This window comes from Homo sapiens, chromosome 2 (assembly GCF_000001405.40).
Source record: "Homo sapiens chromosome 2, GRCh38.p14 Primary Assembly".
NCBI classification, from domain to species: Eukaryota; Metazoa; Chordata; class Mammalia; order Primates; family Hominidae; genus Homo; species Homo sapiens.
In genome coordinates this window covers 43,459,646-43,485,898 of record NC_000002.12, presented here as the reverse complement: position 1 = coordinate 43,485,898, position 26,253 = coordinate 43,459,646, and the positions used below count along the sequence as shown (strand labels likewise).

The 26,253-nt window shown below is 37.4% G+C and overlaps 1 protein-coding gene across 7 annotated transcripts in view, besides 2 other annotated features; it reads left to right on the top strand.

Moving 5' to 3' along the window:
• Positions 1-26,253, top strand: part of THADA (THADA armadillo repeat containing) — a 365,188-nt gene that overhangs the window by 110,140 nt on the left and 228,795 nt on the right. For 6 of the 7 annotated variants that reach the window (NR_144316.2, NM_001345924.2, NM_001345923.2 and 3 more), the window contains one exon: positions 574-665. The exons of the other annotated variant lie outside the window; for it this stretch is intronic. Coding sequence is in view for 5 of the 6 variants with exons in the window: in NM_001345924.2 (NP_001332853.1) it covers positions 574-665 (92 nt within the window). In the remaining variant the exon portion in view is untranslated. The remainder of the gene's footprint in view (positions 1-573; positions 666-26,253) is intronic. 7 annotated transcript variants of the gene reach the window in all.
• Positions 23,913-23,972: an enhancer, noted in NCBI's record as "active region_15677". NCBI's record gives its function as "activates an Ori minimal core promoter by ATAC-STARR-seq in GM12878 lymphoblastoid cells {active_cell/tissue: GM12878}" and the evidence as "EXISTENCE:reporter gene assay evidence [ECO:0000049][PMID:35858748]".
• Positions 24,123-24,312: an enhancer, noted in NCBI's record as "active region_15676". NCBI's record gives its function as "activates an Ori minimal core promoter by ATAC-STARR-seq in GM12878 lymphoblastoid cells {active_cell/tissue: GM12878}" and the evidence as "EXISTENCE:reporter gene assay evidence [ECO:0000049][PMID:35858748]".

Below are 26,253 nucleotides of genomic sequence, written 5' to 3'. Positions count from 1 at the left end.
AAAAATCTCTAAAAAAATACTTTTTTTTTTTTTTGAGATGGGGGTCTTACTGTATTGCCCAGGCTGGTCTCAAACTCCTGGCCTCAAGCAGTCCTTCCACTTTAGCCTCCCAAGTAGCTGGGATTACAGGTGTAAGCCACTGGGCCTGGTTCTTTGAAGTTAGGTTTTATAAGTATTTTCTCGTAGGTAAAATGATTTCAGAAAATAAATGGAAAGAGCTGAGGTTTTACTGCAATCTTCATTGTCAGGAAGCATATAGAAAAATGAATTTTTAGAAAAGTGTTATTTGATGCTCTAAGTGCAGAGATTAGTGAAAACTGTTGATGGTAATATTAGGAATATAGGAAAAGGCTGTGTTGTGTGCATGTGATTGGGTTGTAGAGCTCAATTGAAGTCATTGAATCGATGACTGTCAAGTTTTTTTTTTAAATTATTTTATGAACACAAATCTGTCTTTTTAGCCTCACACTAGCCAGTTAGGTAATGATTTTGAATTATCTAGTTTGAACATTGTAAACGTTGGTTTCATGCCAAGAATATTTAAGCCTTATTGTGTTTTCGTTTGTACATTAGGTGCGAAATTCATCCACACTTCTCTTTAGTGCCTTGATCACAAGAATTTTTGGAGTTAAAAGGGCAAAGGATGAACATTCCAAAACAAATAGGTAAGCTCCATTTAAGGCTAACTTTACTTTTTTTAAAAAATACAATATTGTCCTGGCCAAAAACAAATTTTGAAATTGTGCCTACTGTTATAGATTCATCTAGAGCATAAAACTATAAAAATACTGTAATGAATTAACCTATGCTGCCAAGTTATAAACCCTTGGGCAAAAATATCAACTGTTTAATAAGTGGACCTTTCAAAGCAACAAAAATTTAGCAAGGTAGCAAGGGGTGAAATGTAGAGCTTGTTTCTCCATGCAAAAGCTAGTGTTTTTTTTGTTTTTTTTTTTTTAATTGCATCTTCTTTAAGTAGTCCTGAAATGTCTTAACTTTACTTGTATATATTATCCTAGCTTGTATAATATCTTTAATTTTATAGGTGGAAGTTTAAATGTTTATGATCCTCTCATTAGAACATCTCTCACATTACCTTTGCATTAAACTCTTGTACTAAGAGGAGCACCTATATGTGTTAACCACAAGAAATAAACAGTGCTTTTTACTTTTGGTCTTTAGTTTTATGTTTAACCTCTAATTTGTTTTTGTCTTTAAAAAACAGCTTTTTTGTTATGCCTGAAAAGAAACCTGTGGAACCATTTTGATTTTGGGTAGTTTTTAGATAAAAATGCACAAGATCTGTTTGTTTTTAAAGAAGAAAAGCTTTGAATAGTTGTTTTTTAGCACTTAAGAGGATTTAATGGTAATCTAATTGACTTGCAGTTGTTAACACTAGATGTCACTGTTGCTGCACATTTAATTACTTCCTTAACTTTATTTAGGATCCAGTTTGGCCCAGTGGTCTTTCTCTTGAGGATCTAGAGTTATATTCAAAGCCCTATTCCCTTCTTCCCTAAAAAAGTCATTATGCTTCATATTTAAGTTTTAAGCTAATGTTTATTGAAATGCATTTTTGTGTGATGGAACTAAATCTTAGGAATTAAAAAAATATGAAATCATTTTGTGATGTACTAGTGATAATTCTAATGAAACCTACTATGGTATTTCCGAATTATCATTTAAATTGCTTCTTGTCACCCTGTAACATTCACCAGATATTTAAAAGGAAGGTAACTGGCTGTAAGTATAAATCCCTTGAGCATGTTCAGGCAATACCAGAGAGCTTTTTAATTTTTTTTTTAACTGAGTATTTTTTAAATAAATAAAACATTACTCTTGTGGAGGGATGATTATAATTTTTATTTTTTAGCCTGTTCTTAAAGAAATTCTTCCTGTCACTAACTTGAAATCACTAATATTTGTTTCTCCTTAGCTTTGTCTATTTTGTTAATAATTCTCCAGTGTGCTACAGTTTAAAACAGTTGGGTCATGTTATAAGGCCTTGATAAATACTGGTATAAATGAAATATGATATTAAGTCATCAAACAAGTAAAATTAATGTTTAAAACTGAACTTGAAGAAAATTTTTTTTTGTTTTTTATGAAGTGATTCTTGAATATATATATAAATATATATACATTTTACTATGTATAGGAGAAAATGATCAGAAAATGAGAAAACCTCATTTAGGTTGTATCTGAGGGAGGAAGAATAGGGCAGTGATACTATACAATTTTAATTTTTTGCCAAAGTTACAATGATGGAAACCTCCATTATAAATTTATTCCTCTTGGATAGGAAAGATTACAAAATATATAAGATTTCTAGAAAAAAGGAAATAGGAATGAGAAGTTTTTAACTGTGAAGAATGTGAGAGCTTTTAATTTTAGTAATCTGAAGATCGGTATGGACCATTATGTGTACAAGGCTTCTGTTCCCTGTTTAACCCATGAAGATATATTTCTTGGCAGCTCCCATTAGGTTTGCTTTGCAAAACCTTTAGTGTCTTAAATTTGCAGTTGCTTGTGATGGTTCTTTTAGTTTTAGTTTGTTTAATTATGTCACTTTTTGTTTAAATGTTTATATGCCTGTTCCTTCCAATATTAACTTTCTGAAGGAAGGACCTTTTTCATCTGTTCTGGGTACGTAATGGGCACTTTAAGAAGGCTAGTAATAATGATATCTTGGTTGGTTACTTATCCACCGGATAACTAACCTCAGCCGGTGACACACCTCACAAGTCAGTTGTTTCCTTTCACAACCACAGATTGTCCTGCTCGCAATTTGGAAATGTGTGTTCTTGGTCAGAGGGAACTGGACATAAAAAGAACATCTGCTTTTTCCATCTAATGGGAAATAAAGGTCTGACTTGGAGTAAACAAACCTGGTTTCTAGGCATTTTGCTGCCACTGGAGATGACCTTAATAGGCCCCCTTATCCACTTTGCACTTCAGTTTCTCCATCTATATACCAGGAATAATAAGATCTGTGCTGTCTACTCCTAGGGCTATTGTGAGGATAAAACAAACTATTAGAAGTTCATTTTCTTTAACATATTGGAAGTCCTAGGCAATTAGAGATATAGTTTGGTTTTTCTTTCTGTTACCACTTCTGTGATTGTACTCATCTGATTGTCTTGCTCTTAAGACCGTGCTTTTTGAGGACAAGGTCAGTATCTTAACCATTCTTGGGTACCTAGAGTCTAGCATAGTATCTGGCATATAGAAGGCATATAGGAATAATTGCCTAATGAATAAGTAAATTTTGTTACTAGAGGAGAAATAAGAAATCTGGTTTCTACTCCTGCGTTTGTTACAATATAACCACTATAATCAACTGAGACAAAATAGCCAACCTCTCTGGGCTTTGGTTTTCTTCTCTGTAAAATAAGGTTTGGAATATTCCTGAGGTCTTTTCTTTTTTTAAAATACTAAAGTAAGGCTTTACATAATGTTACTGGAATTGTAAGTTTGGTAAAATGATGTATTCCCAGTGCCGTAGAACAGTCCCTGTCGCATAGTACAGACAAGAAGTTCCTGTTTCATATATAAAGAAAGGAGCAGAGGATCCTTTGTAAGTGTGTAGAGGGTACCTGTAATGACTGAATTTTTGCACCCATTAGTCTTATTTTAGATGTGTTTTTTGGGTTTTAAAGAATGAGAAAACAGAAGTTTCACTTGTGCTTTTAAAGTAATATTATTACATTTTAACTTTTAAAGCTCTTTTCCTTTCTGTTTATTGCTGCGTGACTGACTTGGCCTGACAGAATGAAGAACTGATTTTATGTAAAATCAGAACCAGCAAAGCTCTGCAACCTGTGCAATATGCATGTTTTCTAAAATAGCCTCCATCTCCATGTGAGTGAGCTCAGCTTCATAGCTCCTCATTTCTTACAGGACAGGAGCTAAACTAATATGGCGCTTAGCTCTAGGTCTTTCCTTTTAGCCCCTGTGTGTATTAACTTTCAGCTGTGAGTCCCAGCTAAATGATACATGTCAATATGTAGCAATCAGAAAAGGTTTATTTTTGACTTCTTGGAGTGTGCTTTGCCAAAGCTTCATGCAGGTTCTTAATGTATAGCATTGTCTAGCTTTTGCACACTCTCCACCTTAAATCAGTGAGCCAATGAGAATTTGAAAGCACTTATCATGAACTCAGTATTAACATAATAGGGGAGTACATGAAGAATATAAAACTTGGATCTTACTCAAGGAGTTTACAGTTCAGTTAGGAAGACAAAAATTGTTACATGTGAGTCAGATACAAATAGGAGACACCATATAAAAATCACCTGTACAATGTGATGTGAGTGATGAACACATTAGAAATTTATAAATGGTAGAATTGAGTGGAGTATATGTTGGGGGGAAGTAGTATTTTTTACAAGGCATTGGGAAATGAGTAGATTTGGGGTACATGGAAACAGGTAGATTGAAAGAGGAACAAAATAATAGTTTTGTTTACTGTGTTAAGTACAATCTCTATTCTGTCTTATTAAAGAGAGCTCATATTCAAATTAATAGCTTAGGATAATTTAGTACAATTTAAGAAGAAAATGTGTTTCTAAAATCATGGGATGATCCAAGTAAAATTGTTTCTAGTGACTATGTTGGGAGATGTTAAATTGTATTTATTTTATTTTCCAGGGTATAAGTGATAGAGAATTATTTTAGTTATTTTTCTTAGCATTTTAGTGGTGTAGGTCTGGAAGGATCCTTCAAGGGGCATCTAATCCAGTCCAGCATCGTGCTTATAGAGAGATTTTGAAGCAATTTCCAGACAGACTGGCTTCTCTCCTGTTCTTCATGTTTTCTAGGAAAAGAGATTCCACAAGTTTCTGTGGTTACCCACGCTATTGTTTGGGAAAGAATTGAATTCTCAAAACTAAAATTGAAAGCTGCAGGGCAATTGGGTTTTCATATTTTAGAGAATGTAATTATTAGAATTCAGAATAGCTTATTTGCTTCGAACTACATAGTAACTTGTAGCAAGCCCTATTTGGCCAAATTGAAAAACAGAATTTTCTTTTGACTGTGGCCGGGGTAATTTTTTTTTCTTTTTTTTTTTTTTCCCCCCCAAGACAGAGTCTCGCACTGTTGCCTGGGCTGGAGTTGAATGGCAGGATCTCAACTCACTGCAACCTCTGCCTCCCGGGTTCACGCAATTCTCCTGCCTCAGCCTCCCGAGTAGCTGGGATTACAGGTGCACACTACCACACCTGGCTAATTTTTTGAAATTTTTTTTTTTTAGTAGAAATGGGGTTTCACTACATTGGCCAGATTAGTCTTGAACTCCTGACCTTGTGATCGCCTGCCTCAGCCTCCCAAAGTGCTGGGATTATAGGCGTGAGCGGCCAGGGTAATATTAACATCCTCAAACCCAAACAGTTCTAATTTTCTCCACTGAACAAGCATTTATTATGTTTTTACTCTGGGCCAGGCCCTCTGCTAGTTACTGGGATCCAAAGATAAATCAGAAATACTCTCTGCCCTAGGGGACTCCAAGTCTGATGAAGAATATGGCAGTTATCTGTGGTGCTGGAGTCTCTGTTCAGTTGTGTAGAAGGACAGGAGAAGTTGTGAAGGAAGGTAACATTTCTTTAGTGCGTGGGCCATGCCAGACCCTTTATACATGTCTAACTTAGCCGAGATCACAGCTCTGCGAGGTAGGCAGTATCATCCTCATTTCACAGAAGAGGGACCTAAGGCTCATGAGGTTTAGCTACTTGCCTGTGGCCATACAGCCAGAAAGTGGCAGAACTAGAACACAAAGCGAGCTCCATCTGCAGAGCACATGCTGTTACACACCAAACAACGGATTCCCTCATGGGCAGGGTGTCACCTTTTTGGAGTTGGCTTTAGATTTTATTTTGTCAGACTCTTTGGGAAATTAGCCACTTCACCCAAAGTCTGAATGTTGACCAATAATCTCAAATCTCCCACATAGTAGGTTGATTTTAGCAGGAAAGGTAGGAGTAAACCAGAGGAGAATTTTGTTTTGGGTTGACTTTAAGATTCTTTATCTGGACGGTAAAAGACAATAAGGATGTGTATTTTTTGGTGCATGAATGTTATTTACCTCAATGAGCCCCTCGCTGTTCTCATGTAGACAGAGGTGAGGGAGGAGAGGAGCAAGGCTCAAGGTTTCTAATGTCAACCGGGAATGTCGTAAAACTATGAAGGTAGAAATCTTAGTTTTCTGGTTAGAAAGTAGAGAATGAATGAAATTACCCCAATAAGGATATCAGTGTTGCTAGCAAGAAGTTAACTTTTTTTTTTTTTAACATTTATCTCTATAAAACTCTTATGTTTGATAATAGTTTGGTGCTATTGATAGAGGATTTTGAGGCTTATGATAATTCTTATGATTTCTCTAGACTTAACTCTTTCTCTAGAGTGTGTGCTTATGTCTTTCATTGATATCTTTAATTAAAATGATACTAATAACCATTATTATTATTTGTTTTTATCTTTGAGAGGACCTAGGAAGTCATCCAGTCTCATTCTCATTTTGCAGATCTGAAAATTGAGGTGCAGAAAAGTTAAGCAATTTGTGTAAGGTCACAGAGCTAGTGCTGGTGATAGAATTTAATGGTTATTTTTAGTTCACAATAAGCTCAACTAAAACATTTTAAAAAATCAGTCGATTATTTAGAAATGAAGTTTCTGTTAGCAACAGTAATAGTAGTTTGGATTCAGATGATTCTGATTTAAAGTATGAAGTTAATTTTCTCAAAGAGGTGCTTTAATTATCATAAGATTATAAATATTAATGATTTGAAAGTAAGTTAAGAGCTCTAGTGTTTTGGTATAGTCTGGAGTGTCATTCATGCATTTTCCAGAGTTGTTTGTAGAATTAACATTCAATCATTTATCTACTCTTTAGGCAGAGTAGATAAATGAGTATTTTTGGAGACTGAGAGGTAAAGTACAAGTTTTGTGTAACCCTGGTTGAGATGTTCCTAAAGTCAGAATTAAGTCTGTACTGACACTTTGGCCTATTAGAGAGTTTCATGTTTCAAGTTTTTGTTCATTCTTAGGTTCATAGATTACAGGTAGGAGAACCACAAATAAAGTTTTTAACTGAAAAGAAGTTCTTCAAAAGAAATGTTTTCATGAACTTGAAGTGGGAATTAGTCATTGTGTTCTTAAATATTGACTCTTACGTGGACGAAGTAATCTTTATTTCTAAGTACTGCTTCAGGCTATTGCCTTCTTTAATAACTAAGGCATTGTTGCTTTAGTTTGAGCATGTTCTATGGAATTTTGGCAATGCATGTATCCTCTTTCTGCATCTTAGTAAAAGCATGAGTAAATATTTTTTCTTAGCTTTGGTATTTTTGTAGCTTACATTTTATATGGGCCAGACTAATATAATGTAATACCAGGATTACATAATTTAAGACGTCAGGATTGCTTCCAGGAGTATGAGATAAAGTCTTCATTTATCAGGGGGTTTACAAGCAGTATTTCTTGCCCCTTCAATACCTGTAGAGCAATACCACTGAGCTATTTTCCAAATGAGAAAATGGAGTCTAAGAGGTTAAAGCCAGAGGGAACAGTTTCTTTAGAACTTGGATAATATTTCTTTATTCAGAACTTGGTCCTTGTAACTACTGATTTGAGTAATGTACAGTTTGGAAATCTCAGGAATTTCCAGCTATTGTTGTTATACATTGAACTTTTAAATAAAATATACTCTTAATTTTTTCATTGAATACTCCTTATGGACCTTGGCATCCTGGTATATACAAAAGTAGTTTATAACATGTCTGAGATTTCAAGGAGTTTACCATTTATTGAGAGGTAAGACCAACATGGAAACTAGTTTAGGAAATGTGAGAATCAAACTCTCTGGCACTGACTGTCAGGGGATAAGAGGTCAGAGGAGGATGAGGCCATTCTCCATGTAGCAGTCTGGGTTGAATCCGGACTTGAAAGGATGGTCAGGATTTCAATAGGTAGAGAAGAGGGTGTTGCATATGGGATCATGTAACATAAACAGAGATGTAGAAGTTGGAACACACATTGTACATGTCTAAGAAAATTAAAAGATGAATCAGATGAGGAAAGAGAGGACATGTGGAAGTGTTCATTCAGTCATTCATTCCTAGAGCAAGGATTCATGGTCACTTAGTCTGCATAGGCACTGTAGTAGGTTCTGAGACTATCAGTGAGTGTGGAAAACAGACATGTCAGGAGACTAGTTTGAATTTTACAGAACATTGGGATTCATTTAGAAGTCTTTGTATCAGAGTATTCTGTGATAAAACCATTGCTTTAGGAATTATTTGAGAAGTGATTGCATTCTGTACCACTGGCTGGTGGGCATGGAGAATGTGATGCAAGGCCTTGAAAGGGAGTGCCACTTCTAAATTGAGTAGCAGCTATGTTAATGGGGAATATATGTCCTATGTTTTAACGAATACTAGTTTTCTCAAGAAATTAAGAGATGTTTAGTGAAAAATAGATTTTTCTGTTATTCACTGACTAGAAATGCTGAATTAAATAATGACAGGTTTCTCAGACCTGTGCTATAATGTGTTTTGAGAATCATCAAGAGTGGGATATAGCATGCAGTATGAGCATTTCCCTAAATTATTTGACCATGGAGATTCTCTCTCTTCCCTTCTCTCTCTCTCTCTCTCTCTCAAAGAACATATATTGCCATTTTTTTTCCATCCAACAGTTTGGGGAATACTGCTGTCGGGATACTGATTAAAGCAGGTGAAAGGCATATTTCTGATTATTAGGAGCAGTAGATATATCTACTGTGAGAAAGACATATATATTTGAGATATATCTTGGCAGCAACAGAAAGGATTAGTTTTAGTTACAGCTAAATACACTGTAAATTATCCCACATTGTCAGATAAAAATGTAAAATAGCGTCCTACATATAGTAGGTAGTCAATACATTTGAATCTAGGAAAATTTCATAATTGTAGACCTTTAAAAATTCTATAATAACCAAAATGCCTCTTTGAGAGAATGAACTTTATATTCTAGGTTAGAATCTTCTAACATTTTGTCAGAAGAACATAATTTCCATTTTCCCAATGATTTGACCATTAGTATGGGGAAGATAGTGCCTATAATACAGTTGGTGAACTGATCAGCAAGATTAGTACCTAACTTGCATGACTGTGATATATGTATCTGTTTGTGGGGTGGGTGAAGAGTGCCGACAGGGAGAACGACATAACATAGTAACCAGCTTTGAAATACAGTCTTGCTAGTAAATTAAGTAGCACACTCTGTTGTTGTCATTCCTAATCCCCACAGTAATAGCACCGTCTGTTAACATTTACCCAGAGGCTTGAAATAATTCAGACTTATGCAGCTAGAATCCTTTTGGCTGCGAATAACAGTAAACCCAAATCAAAATTTAAATACAGACAACTTACTATCCCATATATAACCAGGAAATTTTAAAGAGGATTGATTCTTTTGAGGTTGAAAACATCATCAGAGACTCCGATTTCCCTTCTTGTTTCTGCTGTGCCATCCTTGATGTGATGCCATGAGCCCCAGGCAAGCTTCCTTCATGGTTGCAAGATGGCTTCAGTTCCAGCCATCATATCCAGACACTGCAGTGTCTAGGCACAATACCCAGTGGCCTTGTGCATTTCTGTTTCTTTTTAAGAGCAACAGCATTTCCTCCTGTTTATGTTCCCATGTTCCCACCTCCACACTCTACACACTTTTCTTCATATCTTGTTGGCCAGAGTTAACATCTTAGCATGGCCCAGCTTATCCCTGGTGATAGAAATAGATCCACTATAATTAGACTAATAGGATTCATCAGTTGGGTCTGGGGTTGGTGCTGGTCCTCCCCGAAGCACGTGACTACTCAGAAGGGTGAATACCCAACCAAAATCAGTTCTGTTAAGAGGAAGGATGAGATAGAGGAATAAATATTGATTAGGCAACTAATCATGTGTGCTACTACATTCTTCTAGGCTATCTGAAAAGCTCTGAAAATGTTTGTGTTAAGAACAGTGACTTAAGACTATGTATGTAGTATTTTAGCTTAATAGGAAAATATGTTTTTCTTTTATGTATTTTCTTTATGTAATTATTAAAAGATGTGAAGTAGTACAAGTGTCTAGATATATGATTCCATAAAATTCATTCCTGTAAGCAGCTTGCATTATAAAAATCTCACCCAGGAACAAAGTGTGTGTCTTTACACATGACTTTACTAAGTTTTGTAGAACGTTAAAATAGAGATTCTGAGTAGAATGTAATCAGTTCCTAACCACGAAAATGCTATTCTGCAATATGAAATGTCTCCCTGGTTCAGAGCTAATCTCTAACAAGCTAACAGAATGTTAACATTGTTTTTTAATATAAACTCTAATTCACTTTCGAATTTCACCTCTATATTATCACATTGATTTTCTTCTTGTAAGGCCAAATAATGTGAAGTCAAATAGTCTTTCTAGGTTTTTTTTTTTTTTTTTTTTTTTTAAGACAGGGCCTAGCTCTGTCGCCCAGGCTGGAGTGCAGTGGCTGGCACAACCTTGGCTCACTGCAACCTCTGCCTGCTGGGCTCAAGCCATCCTCCCGCCGCCTCAACCTCCCAAGTAGCTGGGGCTACACGTGCGTGACACCATGCCTGGCTAATTTTTGTATTCTTTGTAGAGACCGGGTTTCGCCATTTGCCCAGGCTGGTCTCAAATTCCTGAGCTCAAGTGATCCACCCACCTCAGCCTCCCAAAGTGATAGGATTACAGGTGTGAGCCACCATGCCCAGCCGTCTTTCTAAATTTGTTGGGATTATTAATTATTTTTATTTATGAACCAAGTGTTTTGATGTAACTTCTTGGTCTCTGAACTCAACTTAGGTCAGTTGTCCTGAACAATCTCTCTTTCTCTGTTTGCTACGTTTCTTTCTTTTCTGTCCTCTAAACTCTAAATGTTTTTTTCAGCATATACTGCCTCTATAGAAGTGGTCCATGAGGCGGTCTGGGTCAGGGCAGACCGCTCAGGCTTAGTAGAAGACGGGGTCAGACTAACTTCTCTTGAGAAAGAAACAGGTTACTAAATCTTGGAGGGCTAGAATTTTCCACTCTATAAACACAATTCTAGAAGCATCTAATACTCTTCAGACATCTTCATCTTTCTTTTATTTATCTCTATGATCACTCAAATTCTGAATACCTGAAGTTGATTTAGATACATATAAATGGTCAATTGCATACTTCCCTCCTTCAATTCACTTGATTTCTTCTTTTGCCCCCTATAAGCAAAGCCTTCTTATGCCGCTGGTTCCATTTTCTATGATTAGTGTCCTGTTTAGATGATTCAACATTTTTTTTCTTCATCATTCATTCAGCACAGACGTTTGCAAGGTTCAAGGATCTGAGTACTAAGGGGAGTACAGACATTTATAAAATATGGTCGAAATCTTTGGGGAAGAGTGGAGGAGGAGAGATAACACTTGAACTCGGCTGTAAACGTAACTCTAAAACAAAGTGGAAAGCTGTCAGTACTCTGTGAACTCCTTTCCTCTCTCTCAGGGGAAGAGCCTGCATGTTCCACTCCTCCCATTTCCTCACTTCAGCTTCACTGTGTAATTGTACCTGGAACAGAGCTCTTTCTCACAGTCTTAAAACACACATCCTCTTTAAACCCCCATCTCTTTAATTCTTCTTCCATTAAGGTGAGAAAATGTCATCTATTTCTGTATCTTTCTTCCTTCTTTTGCTCTATCCATATGACACTAAGTGATTCAGGTCATGGTTTACAAACACAGAGCAGTATTGATGATATGCCTCTCCTACCTGTACAGTCATGCCCCACATAACATTTCAGTCAATGACAGACCACATATATGACGATGGTTCCATAAGATTATAGTGGAGCTGAAAAATTCCTATCCCCTATGATGTCTCAGCACAATGTGTTAGTCGCATGTTTGTGGTGATGCTGGTGTAAAACCTACCTCTGCTGTGCTGTCAGTTGTATAAAAGTCAAGCATGGGCCGGGCGCGGTGGCTCACACCCGTAATCCCTGTAATCTGGGAGGCCGAGGCAGATGGATCACCTGAGGTCAGGAGTCTGAGACCAGCCTGGCCAACATGGTGAAACCTCGTCTCTACTAAAAATACAAAAATTAGCTGGGTGTGGTGGCAGGCGCCTGTAATCCCAGCTACTCGGGAGGCTGAGGCAGGAGAATCGCTTGAGCCCAGGAGGCAGAGGTTGTGGTGAGCCAAGATCGCGCCACTGCACTCCAGCCTGGGTGAGAGTGAGACTCTGTCTCAAAAAAAAAAGCCTAACATGTACGATTATGTACCATAATGTGATACTTGACACAAAACGATGATGTTACTGGTTTATGTATTTACTATAATATATCTTTTATTGTTATTTTAGAGTGTACTCCTACTTATTAAAAAAAAAGTTAACTGTAAAACTGGCTCGGGCGGGTCCTTCGGGGGTATCCAGAAGAGGGTGTCGTTCTCATAGGAGACAACAGCTCCATGCTTGTTATTGCTCCTGATGACCTTTCAGTGCGACAGAATGTAGAGGTGGGATATTGATGATCTTGACCTTGTGTAGGCCTAGGCTAATGTTCATGTTTTCTTTTTAACAAACAAGTTTAAAAAGTAGGATAATAAATTTTAAAAATAGGAAAAGCTTATAGAATAAGTGTATAAAGAAAGGAAATGTTTTTGTACAGCTGAATAATGTGTTTTAACCTTTGTTACAAAAGATCAAAAAGTTAAAAATTTTAAGTTTATAAAGTAAAAGTTACAGTAAGCTAAGATTAATTTACTATAGAAGGAAAAAATTTTTTAAATCAATTTAGTGTAGCCTTAGGATACAGTGTTTATAAAGTCTCCAGTAGTGTACAGCAGTGTTCTAGGCCTTCATGTTCACCCACCACTCACTCTGACTCACCCCAGAACAACTTCCAGTCCTGCAGGCTCCATTCGTGGTAACTGCCCTAGACAGGTGTGCCATTTTTTTTTATCTCTTATAGCATATTTTATTCTTTTTCTATGCTTAGTATGTTTAGATACACATATACTTACTGTGTTAGTATTGCCTACAGTATTTAGTACAATAACATGTTGTACAGGTTTGTAGCATAGGAGTAATAGGCTATACCATATAGCCTAGCTATGTAATGGGTTATACCATGTAGGGTTGTATAAGTATACTCTACGATGTTTACACTACAATGCAATTGTCTAATGACACACTTCTGAGAACATATCCCTGTTGTTAAGTGACAGGTGGCTGTATTTGGAAATGAAGTTATATGTACTAAAAACACATTGTCACTGGCCTTTAAGAGTGACAAGTGCCCGGTTTTCCCCAGAAACCTAGCACCAGGTCATCATCTCCATCTCTTTCATGCTTTAATTAAGCCAACTTTCCGTTTAGCTTCAAACACTTCAAGGAAATAAAAGAGGTTCTTTCAATGATTCTCTTGTTTTGATTAGTTATCAATATTATAGTAGCATAGGTTTCAATTTTTAATTGTTGCAAAAGTGTAGTGTTTCAATGGTGAAGTAATTTCTGTGGGCTGTCTGCAGTGCCACCATTTATAGCATTTATGTCTTTGGAAAAACGTATTTCAATTGCCATATGACTATAAGTTGTGGGCTTTCCATCTCTGGAGATATCATACTTAAATACTTGCCTGTTTTTAACCTTTCTGTTTTCAGCCTTGGCTACCTTCAAAATTGTGCTGTCATGCACTGCCAAACTGGTTGGCTGTCCCATGAAGATCAAATTCCATGACATCCATGGCATTTTTTATGGAGGTTTCTTTCTCTGGAAACTTTTCTTCCCCCAATCCCTGTTAAATCGAAGTTTAACGGTTTTTCAGGGCCTTGTGTATAATATCACTCTTTGTAGAATTTCTTTAATCAAAATAGCAAAAGGAAACATGTTTCTTGGTTCATTTATCTTAGTCTTGAGTGGGTTTGTGTGCATGATCTAATATCTTCATTATGTATTAAGGATCAACTGTATGCCAGACTTAGTGCAGGCATTAGCAACTTATTCTTAGGGAGCATACAGTGTGCTGGAAATGAAACAAAACAAAAACCAACAGGCACAAAATCATTACAGAACAGGTAAGTCTTATTGTGAAGTGACAATAGTGATAAAAACGAAGAAGAGGGAACAATCATTAATTAGGAACCAAATGTTATAGTATTATTCTAGTATAACTCAAGTAAGTGTTTGATTGTTGTTACATGTTCTGTCTATGATGTATATGTTTTAGCCTATATATTAGGAAATGCTTGGAGTTGTGTTTGCTGTTTACAAGAGGTTTCCCTACTTCTCAGAGAAACTTACCAATTTTAGATATGTACTCTTTATATTACTTTATTTTGCTTTTTGGGACAGAGTCTTGTTTTGTCACCTAGGCTGGAGTGCAGTAGCACAATCATAGGTCACTGCAGTCTTGACTTCCCAGGCTCAAGTGATCCTCCCACCTCAGCCCCGCCGCCGAGTAACTGGGACTACAGATGTGCACCACCCTGCCTAGCGAATTTTTATAATTTTTTGTAGAGAGAGAGTCTCACTACATTGCCCAGGCTGGTCTCAAAGTCCTGGGCTCAAGTGATCCTCCTGCCTCGGTCTCCCAAAGTGCTGGGATTATAGATGTGAGCCACCATGCCCAGCCAGGTGTGTATTCTTTATAATCAGAGATACTCTATGATATAATTGTCAATATTTTTATTTTGGGGGGTGACAGTAAATGAGTATTTAGCAATATTCTCTGTTCCCCTGAAATTTGTAATTTTTGGTATATTTACTTAGGAGAACCACGGACCTTTAGAGACCTGAGTCCAAGTGTGAATTGAAGAAAAACACCTGTATGTTTTCAGTAGGCCTATAGACTCCAACTCTTTTCCTACATTTATTTTTTCTTACTACGGTCAGTCTTTTGTCCCTCAGGTCCTCCCCATTATCACTACCCATCCCATAGATGAGCTCTGTTTCCTTATATTCAAAACAAATATTCTTCAACTGAGATTATCTCTTCCTTGCTACCAGTTCACTGCTGATTTTACAGGTTAGCTAAGTCTAGTGAAACTGCGGAGTCTTCCAAAGCCAGGTGGATGAATGGATTATGCTGTGGTCTAGGCTAGGTCTTGTTGCCTCTATCTGTTTCACTTTTGTTCCCTCTTTTTATGTTGAAAGTAGTATATGCTTATTTAAAATAATGGAGAATATGAAAAAGTTAGAGTCTTATTCTTGTCACTCAAATACAATTTTTGTTAGCATTTTGTTGCATTTTCCTGTCATTTTCTCATTCGTGAGTGTTCAGTTTTTATAAGGTATATTACTAATTATTATATACACACAGTTTTGTATCCTCCCTTTTTCGCTTATAGGAGGCATTTTTCATGTAGTTATGTAATCATTCATCTTCTAAGAGGTGCTTAAGTAACATTCCTTATAATGGACAAATCGTAGTTTACTTGATAATTCTACTACTATTAAACATTTCGTTTCCCCCCTAGTTTTTAATATTATTAGTAATGGTATGGTGAGCATCTTTACGTATAAAATGTTTTAATGTGTAGGGTTATTTCCTACAGATAGATTCTCCTAGGTGTAATTTATGTGTCAAAGGTTATAACTGGCCTCAGACTCTATTTACATATTGTCAGATTTCTTTTCTTTTCCTTCTTTCTTTTTTTTTTTTTTTTTTTGAGACAAGGTCTCACCGTGTCACCCAGAGTGAAGTGCAGTGGGGCGATCTCAGCCCACTGCTGCCTCGACCTCCTGGGTTCAAGCAATTCTCTTGCCTCAGCCCCCAAGTAGTTGGGGCTACAGGTGTGCCACCCCACCTGGCTAATTTTTGTGTTATTTTTAGAGATGGGGTTTTGTCATGTTGCCCATGCTGGCCTCAAACTCCTGAGCTCAAGTGATCTGCCTGCCTCAGCCTTCCATAGTGCTAAGATTGCAGGCATGAGCCACACCCGGCCCTTGTCGGATTTCTTGAAAAACATTTTTTCCCATGTCACCTTCCTACTCAGGAATTTTTATTAGCTTTCTGTTGCCTACAGTCTAAAGTCATACCCATCTAATTGGTCCTTTTCGTTTTTAAAACACTTTCTAAGAAACTTTTTTTGTTTTAACCACCTACTTATCATTGAGCATTACATTCCATCTGATTTTCCACATAATAAAAAGTGATGCAGGGAATATTCTCTTATGCAGAGAGAGGCATGTTTTTTTGGATTTTTTGAGGGGATAAATGATCAGCAGCGAAAATGCTGGGTTAAAGAATATAAACATTCAATGAAACTAATAACCAAGCCTTTTAAAAAATAAGATTATATCAGTTTACAAATTTACCAGTTATGTATAGTCTTCCTAGTAGTGAGAATAATAATTTTTTTTAATGTTCATTTAAGGGAATGTGAGGGGGAAATTTCCGTGTTTTTTTCAGTTTGCATTGTTTTTATTACTAGTGAGATTTCAGGTTTGTCCACATTATTTGTTGGTTAATTGTATTTTCTTCGGCTTAGCTTTCAAGGCCCTCTGTAAGTTGGACCTGCCCTTTTCACCTTATCTGCTGTTATTCAAACCCACAAATATTTATTAAGCCCCTGCTGGCTAACTTCTCCCACCCCAACAAATAAACACACTCTAATCAAGCCAATCTCCCTATTGTTCCCTTGAACTTGTCGGGCTTTTCCTTTTTATGCTTTTGTTCATGCTTTTTCTACTCCTACAGTGCCTGTCCCTCCTCTTTTGCTTACAGTATGCTGATTTCCCCCATCCTTTGGGTTCAACCCAAAGCTTTTTTCCTCTTGGAAATTTTCCCTGACCTGACCAACTTGCTTGAGGACAGGGTCCGGGGCTCATACTCCCTTGTATCCCAGTGCCTTATTTAGGATCTGCCTAATATAGTAGGTAGGCAATGATGTTGCTTTAAAAATGCATCTTGAGATAGGGAGACCTAGACTTAACTTTTGGCTCTGACTTTGAGCAATTTATTTTAGTCCCCCGGGCCTCAGTTTCTTCATCTCAGGGTCAATCATAAAATGGGGATGGTAATAGTATCTGCTTCTAGAGTTGTGAGGAATAAATGTGGTAATGGTCATCCCAGCACTTGGTCTTCCTTTCCTTAGGACCCTTCCTGATGTGCCCCAGATTCTGTATGCCATCTCTTTCTTGCGGTGGTATTGTTTCTTGTGAATTGTTATATGCCCTCAGATACCAAATTCTTAAGTTGGTGGGGGATTGTATTTTAAATTTTTTGCCCATCCTAAAGCGCTGTGTAAATGCTGATTGAGTATAATTGAGTAGCTTTGGTAGCAGTGAGTATAATTGGGTAGCTTTGGTAGCAGTGAAAATGAGGGCAATGCAGTGAGGAGGACCTCATTTTCAGTCTTTTACTAAAAGCTTTACTGACCCTTTATTGGAGAACTTTCTCTTAGGGCCTTTAAAAAATATTTAATTTTGTTGCTTATTCAGCCAAATGGAGTTAGTTATTCAGTAGAAAATGGTAAAAAGATCCAAATAACACCACCGGATTTCACTTTTCCATATAGTGTTTCAAAGCGTTGTATTCATTAATATTTGTGCAAAAACCTATGGTTAATACCACAAGAAGTCATAAACTAAACCAGATTTTTCCCCTTTTTAACTTTCACATGACTTGGATTAACAACAGCGTTACTCCCTAATTTACACCAAGCATTCTCAAAAAGCTGAAACAATGATTCATGTTTAGTCACCGTGTGACTGGCTATTTTCATTTATTTAAAATATAAACAACAAAAAATATCCTGGATAAAGATCTCCACATATTTTAACTAGTGACAGATGCTATGATCAGTATTTTTACTTAAGTCAGGCATTTTTTACTTACACCTCAAGCCTTGCAATTAAGCTTTAGGCCTTTCCAAGCATAACAGTTAACCAATAAACCAAAATATCAGCCTGGTCTGGCTTAGCTCAGCGGTCTTTTGATTTCTTCCAGTCTGTTTGATGTGGAGGCTTATTGAGATTTATCTACTGAGCTGTTCATAGTTTGTAGGGCTGAGAGCACTGGCTATATTATATAAGATTCCATTAGTGACAGAAGAGTGTAGACAGTCTCTACAGTGTAGATCGTTTAGTCAGTTGTGGTAGTCATAATTTTGTTGAAATTTTTAAGACTGTTGTCAAGCTTTTTAAAATTAATAGTCAATTATTTTTCTTATTTACCAGTTTATACTGTGAGCCTCAAAACAGATGTAGTTTGATTGGTTCAATTTAGTAGAAATTTTCTCAACTTTCAGGAGAAGTCTCTGCAGATGTGAAAACTTTTCCAATTATTTGGACCAGTTTACCCACAGGGAAATAAAAATAGAAATACAGAGTAATCAGTCCTAAATATTTGCTGTGTGGGTAGGTAAACATTATTCCATTGTATTGTTCATGATGGTAGTAGCATCAGTATACCAACCTTAAGTGCTACAAAGGGCTTTTACATACTATGTCCTGTATTCCTGGTAGTGATACTCAGTAAGTATTATTGTCCCTTTTCTAAATGGCACACTTGGAATTTGGGTTATTTATTTGCTACATCATTTCATATCTAGCGTGAAGCAGAGCTAGTGTTCAAATTTGCACTACATGAAAGGTTTTTTTTCTTGTTAAATAATATACAGTATTTCTTAAAGTAACAAAGTTCTGCCAAGCAGCATCCCCGTGGTGTTTTTTTTTTTTTTTTTTTTTTTTTGAGACGGAGTCTCGCTCTGTCGCCCAGGCTGGAGTGCAGTGGCGCGATCTCGGCTCACTGCAAGCTCCGCCTCCCGGGTTCACGCCATTCTCCTGCCTCAGCCTCCCGAGTAGCTGGGACTACAGGCGCCCGCTACCACGCCTGGCTAATTTTTTGTATTTTTAGTAGAGACGGGGTTTCACCGTGTTAGCCAGGATGGTCTCGATCTCCTGACCTCGTGATCCGCCCGCCTCGGCCTCCCAAAGTGCTGGGATTACAGGCGTGAGCCACCGTGCCCGGCCCCCCGTGGTGTTTAATCACATCCTCTTTCTTTAGAAGTAGAATAAAATTACTCACATTTATCCTGCTGAAGATAAGAAAATAAGGTCATATTGGAGGAATAATGAAACATATTTATGCTTTCTGCCTCAGTTGCCTCATGTCTTGAATGGGGAAAATATCTCTTAGGGTTTTTGTGCAATTGAGTGAGTTCATACGTGCCTGCAGATTAGGAGAGTACTTGGCACAGAGTAAATGCACAATACAATTAGCTCTTGTAAGCATTCATTTACTCAGTAGGGTATATTGACCTGCTGCTATGTGCCAGGTAATATGCTGGGCATTAGGAGGTAAATAAGTCAAAGTCTTTGCCCACAAAGATCTCAGAATCAAGTAGAGTAGACATACCCCAAACTGTGTGCTAGCAGCGTGAATATTCTCATATAGAGGTATGCAAGGAGGTATGGACACACAGAGTAGGGATGAGTAGGGACTGTTAGGCAAAACTTCCTGTAAGAGTCAGGGCCTGAGCTTGAAGGATGAGTAGAAGTTAACCAAGTGAAGAAAACTGTAGGGGCAAAGGGAGCCAGGAGGACAGATGATGGTAGTGAAAGGTTGGTGTGAACATGTTTTTTCAATTCAGAATTTCTTGAAGACATTAATATGCTGCTATGCATTATGATTCTCCAGTCGTAGCATTGACTACTCATTTAAAATATTGAATCATGGAATCCTTTTAATAGAATATCCATTGAAGAGCTGTGTTTTATAGGACACACTTTGGGAAATTCTGGATGGACCAAGTGGTGAGAAGAGAGGAGCATGAGTTCAGGTTGGAAATGAGGCAGACAAGGAGGATGGAGAGACAGATACTGATTAGAGATATTAAGACAGTAGATTTGATAGGACTTGATGAAAAACAAGGGGGCCAGGGAAGAGGAAACATAGTGGCATGGCAGCAGATTTGTGGCTTGGACAGATTCTGGGGCTCATGGTGCCATTTACAGCAGCGAGGATTTAGGAGGAGGAACAGACTGGTGGGGGAAGATACCAAGTTCAGTTTTGCCCCTGTGTTTTGAGATGCCTGGGGGACATCCAATGGCAGATCCAAAATGACATCTATTTGGCAGTTAGATATGTAGGGTCTGGAGCATAGGAGTGAGGTCTAGGTCAGATGAAGGAGTCATCCGTAGGTGGTATTTTATGCCAGGAAAGTGAATGAGATCACCCAGAGGGGCTAGGGTAGACTCAGGGAAGCATCAGTATTTAAGTGAGGTATGAAGGATGAGGATCCCTCAGCAGACATTGAGTATTTTAGTAATCTGATATTCTTTGGGACAGGCTTGCTCTTTTCAAGATCTGTGAGTATTTTGTTGTGTTGTGTTTTTCTGGAAAGTGTCTGAATCCACCCATGCAGAAAATCTACTTTGTGGGCTCTTCCTCCCAAGAATCTGGGTAGTTGTAGAAGGAGGCACTTAACCCACGCTCTGAGCTCTCTAAGGAGAGCTGTGTGAGACTCTACCCAGCCCTTCTGAACTCAGTCAGAGAAGGTGGAGCCATCTTGCATCGTTAAGTTTTGGAGTGTTAAGTCCTTAAATGTAACTGGAGAAATAATGAAAGGGAAGTATTCCACTGGATTAAACAAGTTCAATGGATTTTAATTTTCCTGATAAACTATTATTAAGAAATTGTTTTGGAGATTTACTCTTTGAGTAGGATTAGCTAACCTCCATTTTCATTTGGATAAATAGTTCTTTAATTAGAAACCAAGATTTAGAGAATAGTTCCTATTGCTTTACATAGTGTAGAGAAGGTATGTGAAACTGCCAAATCAAGGTTTTCCTCATGATAGTGAGAAGCAGGGAAAACAAGAGGAAATTATAATATGTTAAGGGAAAAGATTCTTTTCATCCAAATATACCAGCTTTTATCTTCAATTCTGGGTCTTTGCCGGCAGGGTTTTTTCCCCCTGTTCTTGTCATGCCAACAGTTGCATATTTCTGGCAAAATGTTCGTTACTGGCTAGGGGTGCTCAAGAAATCTTTTGCTAGAGAATTAAGCAAGCAGAAGTCTGTCAAAACAAATATTCTAGTTTGAAAATACAGTCCTGCGGGGGAAGCAGGAGGAGTGGATAGTGGAGGAGGCCAGGGCGTGTTCTGAGGCTGAGTATTTATTTCATAAGAATTCTGTGTTCTGAAAGACTGTTGTTTGTAGGAATGCCGGAGGAAGCGGGATTGTGGTACATTAAATGTACTGATGAGCAAGATTTTTCTGGGGAATTTTGGTTTGTTCTTGTGCTTGTTATGTAGCTCATGTGATGACAGCCTTTGCCGAGAGTGATACATTTTGCTAACAAATAGCCTTCTTAACTTAATTCAAGAGGCATTTAACAAAACTTATTAGTTTACATGGAAAAAAACCCAGGCCCAAGGATACTAAACACACATAAACAAAGATGCACATAAATACCAGTCCACTTCATAAGCATTTATTTGGCTAGGAATGCCAACATTATACAATTCCAATCTTGAAAGTATTCATTGATTGATTCAAAAAAGTAAAACTTGTTTTTCCTTCTACTTCTTTTTTGTTACTTTTTTTTTTAAGTTACTTGTTTTATAGATGAGTAAGAGTATTAATGGATAGAAGCAAAAGTTTTAGATTCCTTTGTTATATAGTTGCTCAAAGCTACTATTATAGAAGTTGCTCTTCAAGTTGGAGAAACATAGGCTGACATTTTTGGTTTTACCCACTGGGATGGGAGTAGGTGCTAACCATATTAAGCCTCACGGATGAAAACTGTTGCATACAAAAGTGGATTTATTTCTTCTACAGAATTTTCTGACCATATATCAATATACAACTGAGATTTTGTGAGATAACTATAAATAAAATATACTACCTTATAATATTGTTGTAAATGATCTTACATAGTAGAATGTATTAGTAATAAAGCTCTCAAAATAACTAATAAAATAGAGATCAGTTTATTCTTAGCTTCTTCCGGCAAATTTTAAACTTGCTACTGTAAGCAATTCAAGGAGCACATGCCTGTGTCTGGAGCACTGAGAGGAAACCATCCTGCTCTTTCCTTCCCTGATTTCATATACTTTAGTTATTGGAAGAAAGATTAATTAATGTAAAATTTCTTTACTTTTAGTAATTCAAAAGAATAAAAATTTTTTGAGGGCTTGAAAAGATCGTGGTGCACCATTGGCACCATTGGAATTTGCCTTTAGTAAATGTAACATTTGTTTTCTAAAGAATTATAACAACATACTTAAATTCCAGAACAGTAAGCAAAATAGCTTAAGTTCACTGACTTGAAAAAACATTCTTTTATACTGCACGATTCTAAAATAAATACTTAAAAGAAACAGAGAGCAAGCCATTCTATCTTGGATTTCATTTTCCTTCAGATAGAACAGCTAGAACAAACATTCTTGCTAGTTAACATTGCCTGTGTTTTTATGAAGTTAATAACTGACCTGTCAATCACGCCCTATATAAATACGGTAGTTGAATGCTTTCTGCTTTAGAAGCACTTTTATTTACAAGAGCTGCCAGCCAAGATTTCCAAAGGACTCCACGGGCTGTTTGCTTTGATCTGTTTTGAGGGCTGGTCTCTTTATACCTGTTGGTTTGCTCTTTCTGATACCTTTGTGTAATCAGGTATGGGGAGAGCAGATGTGCAGAATAAACACATCTTAAGGGAACCAAGTCTCAAGAGAAATCAAGTAATTATGAATGAACAGCTCTAAAAAAGAGAGAGAGAATATTTTCTTAAATCAACTTAGTTGCTGTTATGACCAAAGAACAGATGTTGTGGTGTTCACCCCAGAGAAGCAAGAGATTTTCCCTTAAACCTCAGCTTATAATGAATGGAAGTGGTATGTGTATCCCTCACCCTCAAACTGTTGCTGTCCTTTAAATTTGTAAATTGCTGAGATGTTGCAGCTCTTCTCAGTTGACTTTTGCCTTTGACCTTTTCTCATTTGCTTCTTCCCTAGGAAATGTTAACCACATGTCTCTGCCCAAATAATTGAGTCTCTGTGAGAGTGTTTACCTTTATATTTTGAACTGGAAATGCCTTTTAGTATTTAAGACAATTTTCCAAAAAAGATGGCTTTTTGTTTTGTGATTTTGATTTGGAGTTCTCCCTCAACACTGAGGGAGAACGGAAAGCCAAATTCATCTTTGTATCCCCGCAAATGGCAACCATAGGGCACAGTGTATAAGAGAATGATAGAAATGAAGAGAAACCAAAATTCTTTGGTCTTCCTTCCAAAATGGCCTATTCTGAGTTTAGTTTATTTCACTTTTCAATTAAATGTTGCCCTAATCATTTCCATATATTACATTTAAATATCACTTTTCTCTAGGAATCTGAATGTTTGAACATATTAGAGGTTGTTACCTTCTATTTTAGTTTGAAATTGAAACATCAAACCAAAAGGTAGCCTCCCCTGTTTTTTTAAACTAGAAATGTTTACCTTGACTTTACAGTCCTTTAGGAGAGCCTGATTTAGAGATTTTCAGGCACTAGAAGTTCACCTTACTATTTCAGGAAATTCTCTTTATACTTTTCAAATGGCTTTCATGGACATTTTTTGGTCAGCGCCTTCCCCTTTTGTGACACTGGCAGGAATCTTAGAGTTTCTGTGGAAAGATGCCTGAACGTTACCCATGGTTTGGAAAGCAGGTGTTTTATTAACCAGAGTTTTCTCCTTTGTTGCTCTAACATTTTCAAAATCTAGTATCTTAAAATGTTATTTGGTTCCTTATTTATGGTTTTAAAATTCTGGCATCTCTATAGTAATCAACAAAGTATAAAATGCAGCCCGAAATCCCCTTGATTCAGCAGCCTTCCTCAGATACTCACTTGCCAGAGTAAAATTATTTGGTAAATGTTAAGGTAGATTAAAGCTTGGGTTTAAACTCTGTTCCCTCTGGGCACCTTTTGGGGGTCAGAGGTGGTAAAGCTGTGGTATTGCCTGGAGCCAGTGCAAACTAACACCGTTGTGTTGCCTGTGTGAAGGCAGAAACCTCTAAGGGATGTGAAACTGCCAAAATTACATTTGAACATTTTCAGGCCTTTGATTGCAGAACCTTTGCTGAAAGCAGTAGTGCAGGGTAGCCAGAGATCAGGCCAGAGAAGCAAGGAGGAGTAAACTTGGATCGGCCATGCCACAGATACTAGGGGAGAAACTGCCTCTCCAAACGATGCACAAGGGACAACTCTGAAGGTCCATGGGACTGCTGAGTTAGCAGATTAGCTGAGTCCCCTCCAGTATTTTCATTTTGCATTCATCCAGGGCTCAAACCTATAATTAAATTTTCTGAACAAAGACTCTATTAACCCAGACCATCCAGATTGATGACTAACAGCTCTTCCTTCCAGGTACATAAGGAAATCTGTAATGCTTAAAGCAAAATAAAGACCCTAGTCAGGTTTGGGGGAGGGCAAAGTCAGGGAGTGGATGTAGTTAGGACTGGGTTTACCTTTCAAAAATCATTTTTTAGTACTTAAAATGGACCTTTCAATGGTTCCTGCACTTACTCAAGTGTATGTGATTTACTGAATGATCTAAAACTTAGTCACAGGGATTTTAATTTAGATATCTATGAAAATGTGTTGGTTTTTAAACTTTTGGCACATTGTTTAAAAATTCTCTCTTTAATATTTTGTGTGGGCAGTGTAGACTTAGGTGAAACTTTTCAGCACAGACCCAGACACAGTTCATTATGTTACTCCTATGCCAAAACTTCAAGTAGCTTTCCAGTGTTTGAGAAATAAGGTTCAAATTCATTAGCTTGGCATTTGAGGCCTTCCACAGTCCAGCCTACTTTCTACGAGAGGTTTTTGCTCTAGCCTTGGCTGTTGTCCCCAGCAAACCTTATACACCTCTGCCTCAACAGTGTCCTTGTGCCATCCCCTTCTCCACTGACTTTTCTCCTCCTCCTACAGCCTCCCCACACTCCTGGGACAGGTGAATCCTAACTGTTCTGCAATGCCAAGCTTCACCTAGAATACTTTAGGACCTCTGCTTTTCCAAATCTGTCAACATCCTGGTTAATCCCACCTCTTGTGAAACTGGCTTTCCTGGAGCATTCCTCTGTGGGCTCTCCCCCACCAGTTTGGCCTCCAGAGCAATGTTATACCACGTCTATGGCTCTTACCACGCCAACCCTTCATTTGTGGTTGGTTTTTGTGTTTTTGTTTTCCCATTCATTTCTGTCTTGTTTTGTAAACTTGATAAAGTTCCTTGAGGCTTAGAATTGTATCTTTTATGTACGAGTGTCCTCCAGAGCACTTAACATAATGTTTAATATATATCTGTCAGTTGTTTGATTGATTGGTGCATGTCTCAGGCCCAGGGCTTGATGTCTTTGCAGTCTCTAAAGACAGCGAGCTATTTTCAGAACCACTGAGTACCTTTGTACCAGGTTTATTTTTTGGCTTTTCAACTTGGTAGTGGAGATGTTAGGCCCAGTTCTGTCCAGAAAATGTATTTTCCAAATCTTTGCATGGACAGAATAGTGTTACAGTCACAGTCTGGAGCAGTTTCACCTGGGTACTGCCAACTCTTTCTTATGCTGACTGGCTGACCCATGTGGAAGTGTTCCTCAGATCTCATTTCAGCTTTCTGGCTTACTTTTTTTTTTTTTTTTTTTTTTTTTTTTTATTAAGAGAAAGCTTGTTTCTAAGATCCTTTTGGGAGCAAAGGCAAGTAAGTATTCATTAAATGTTTACTTTCTTGACTTTAATTCACTTCAGCAGATGATAACTCAGGTGGGATTATGCCTTGACAGTGATCTGACAAGGTCCTTGTTCAGGGTAGTTACTGACTTTTCCAGTATCAACCTTCTAGATACAGCATGAAGCCAACATCCTTGTGTCTGAACTATATAAGGAACTGGCTTTCTTTTAATTTTATGTGTTTTGAGTTTGAGGAAGATGCATATTTTGCCAAGATGTGGCTTTTGAGACTTCCGTGCTGAACTCATTTGGTCTGAAAACTACTGATAAAATTTCTACTTTTGCAAACTTGTTTTTTTGTTTTTGTTTTTAAAAAGTAGGCAAACTCAGTTTTTTAAAAAACAAGTCTACAGTAGTGAATGCCCTAACTGACACAGCATGCTTTGGCTTCTGGAAGCTTGGGCCAGACTCTGAGAGATTTTAATAGCCAGTATGGACCTATGTACACAGTAGTCAGTCCCTCACATTCACACAGCACTGTTTAACATGTGTGTATTTATTCATTCAACAAATATTTT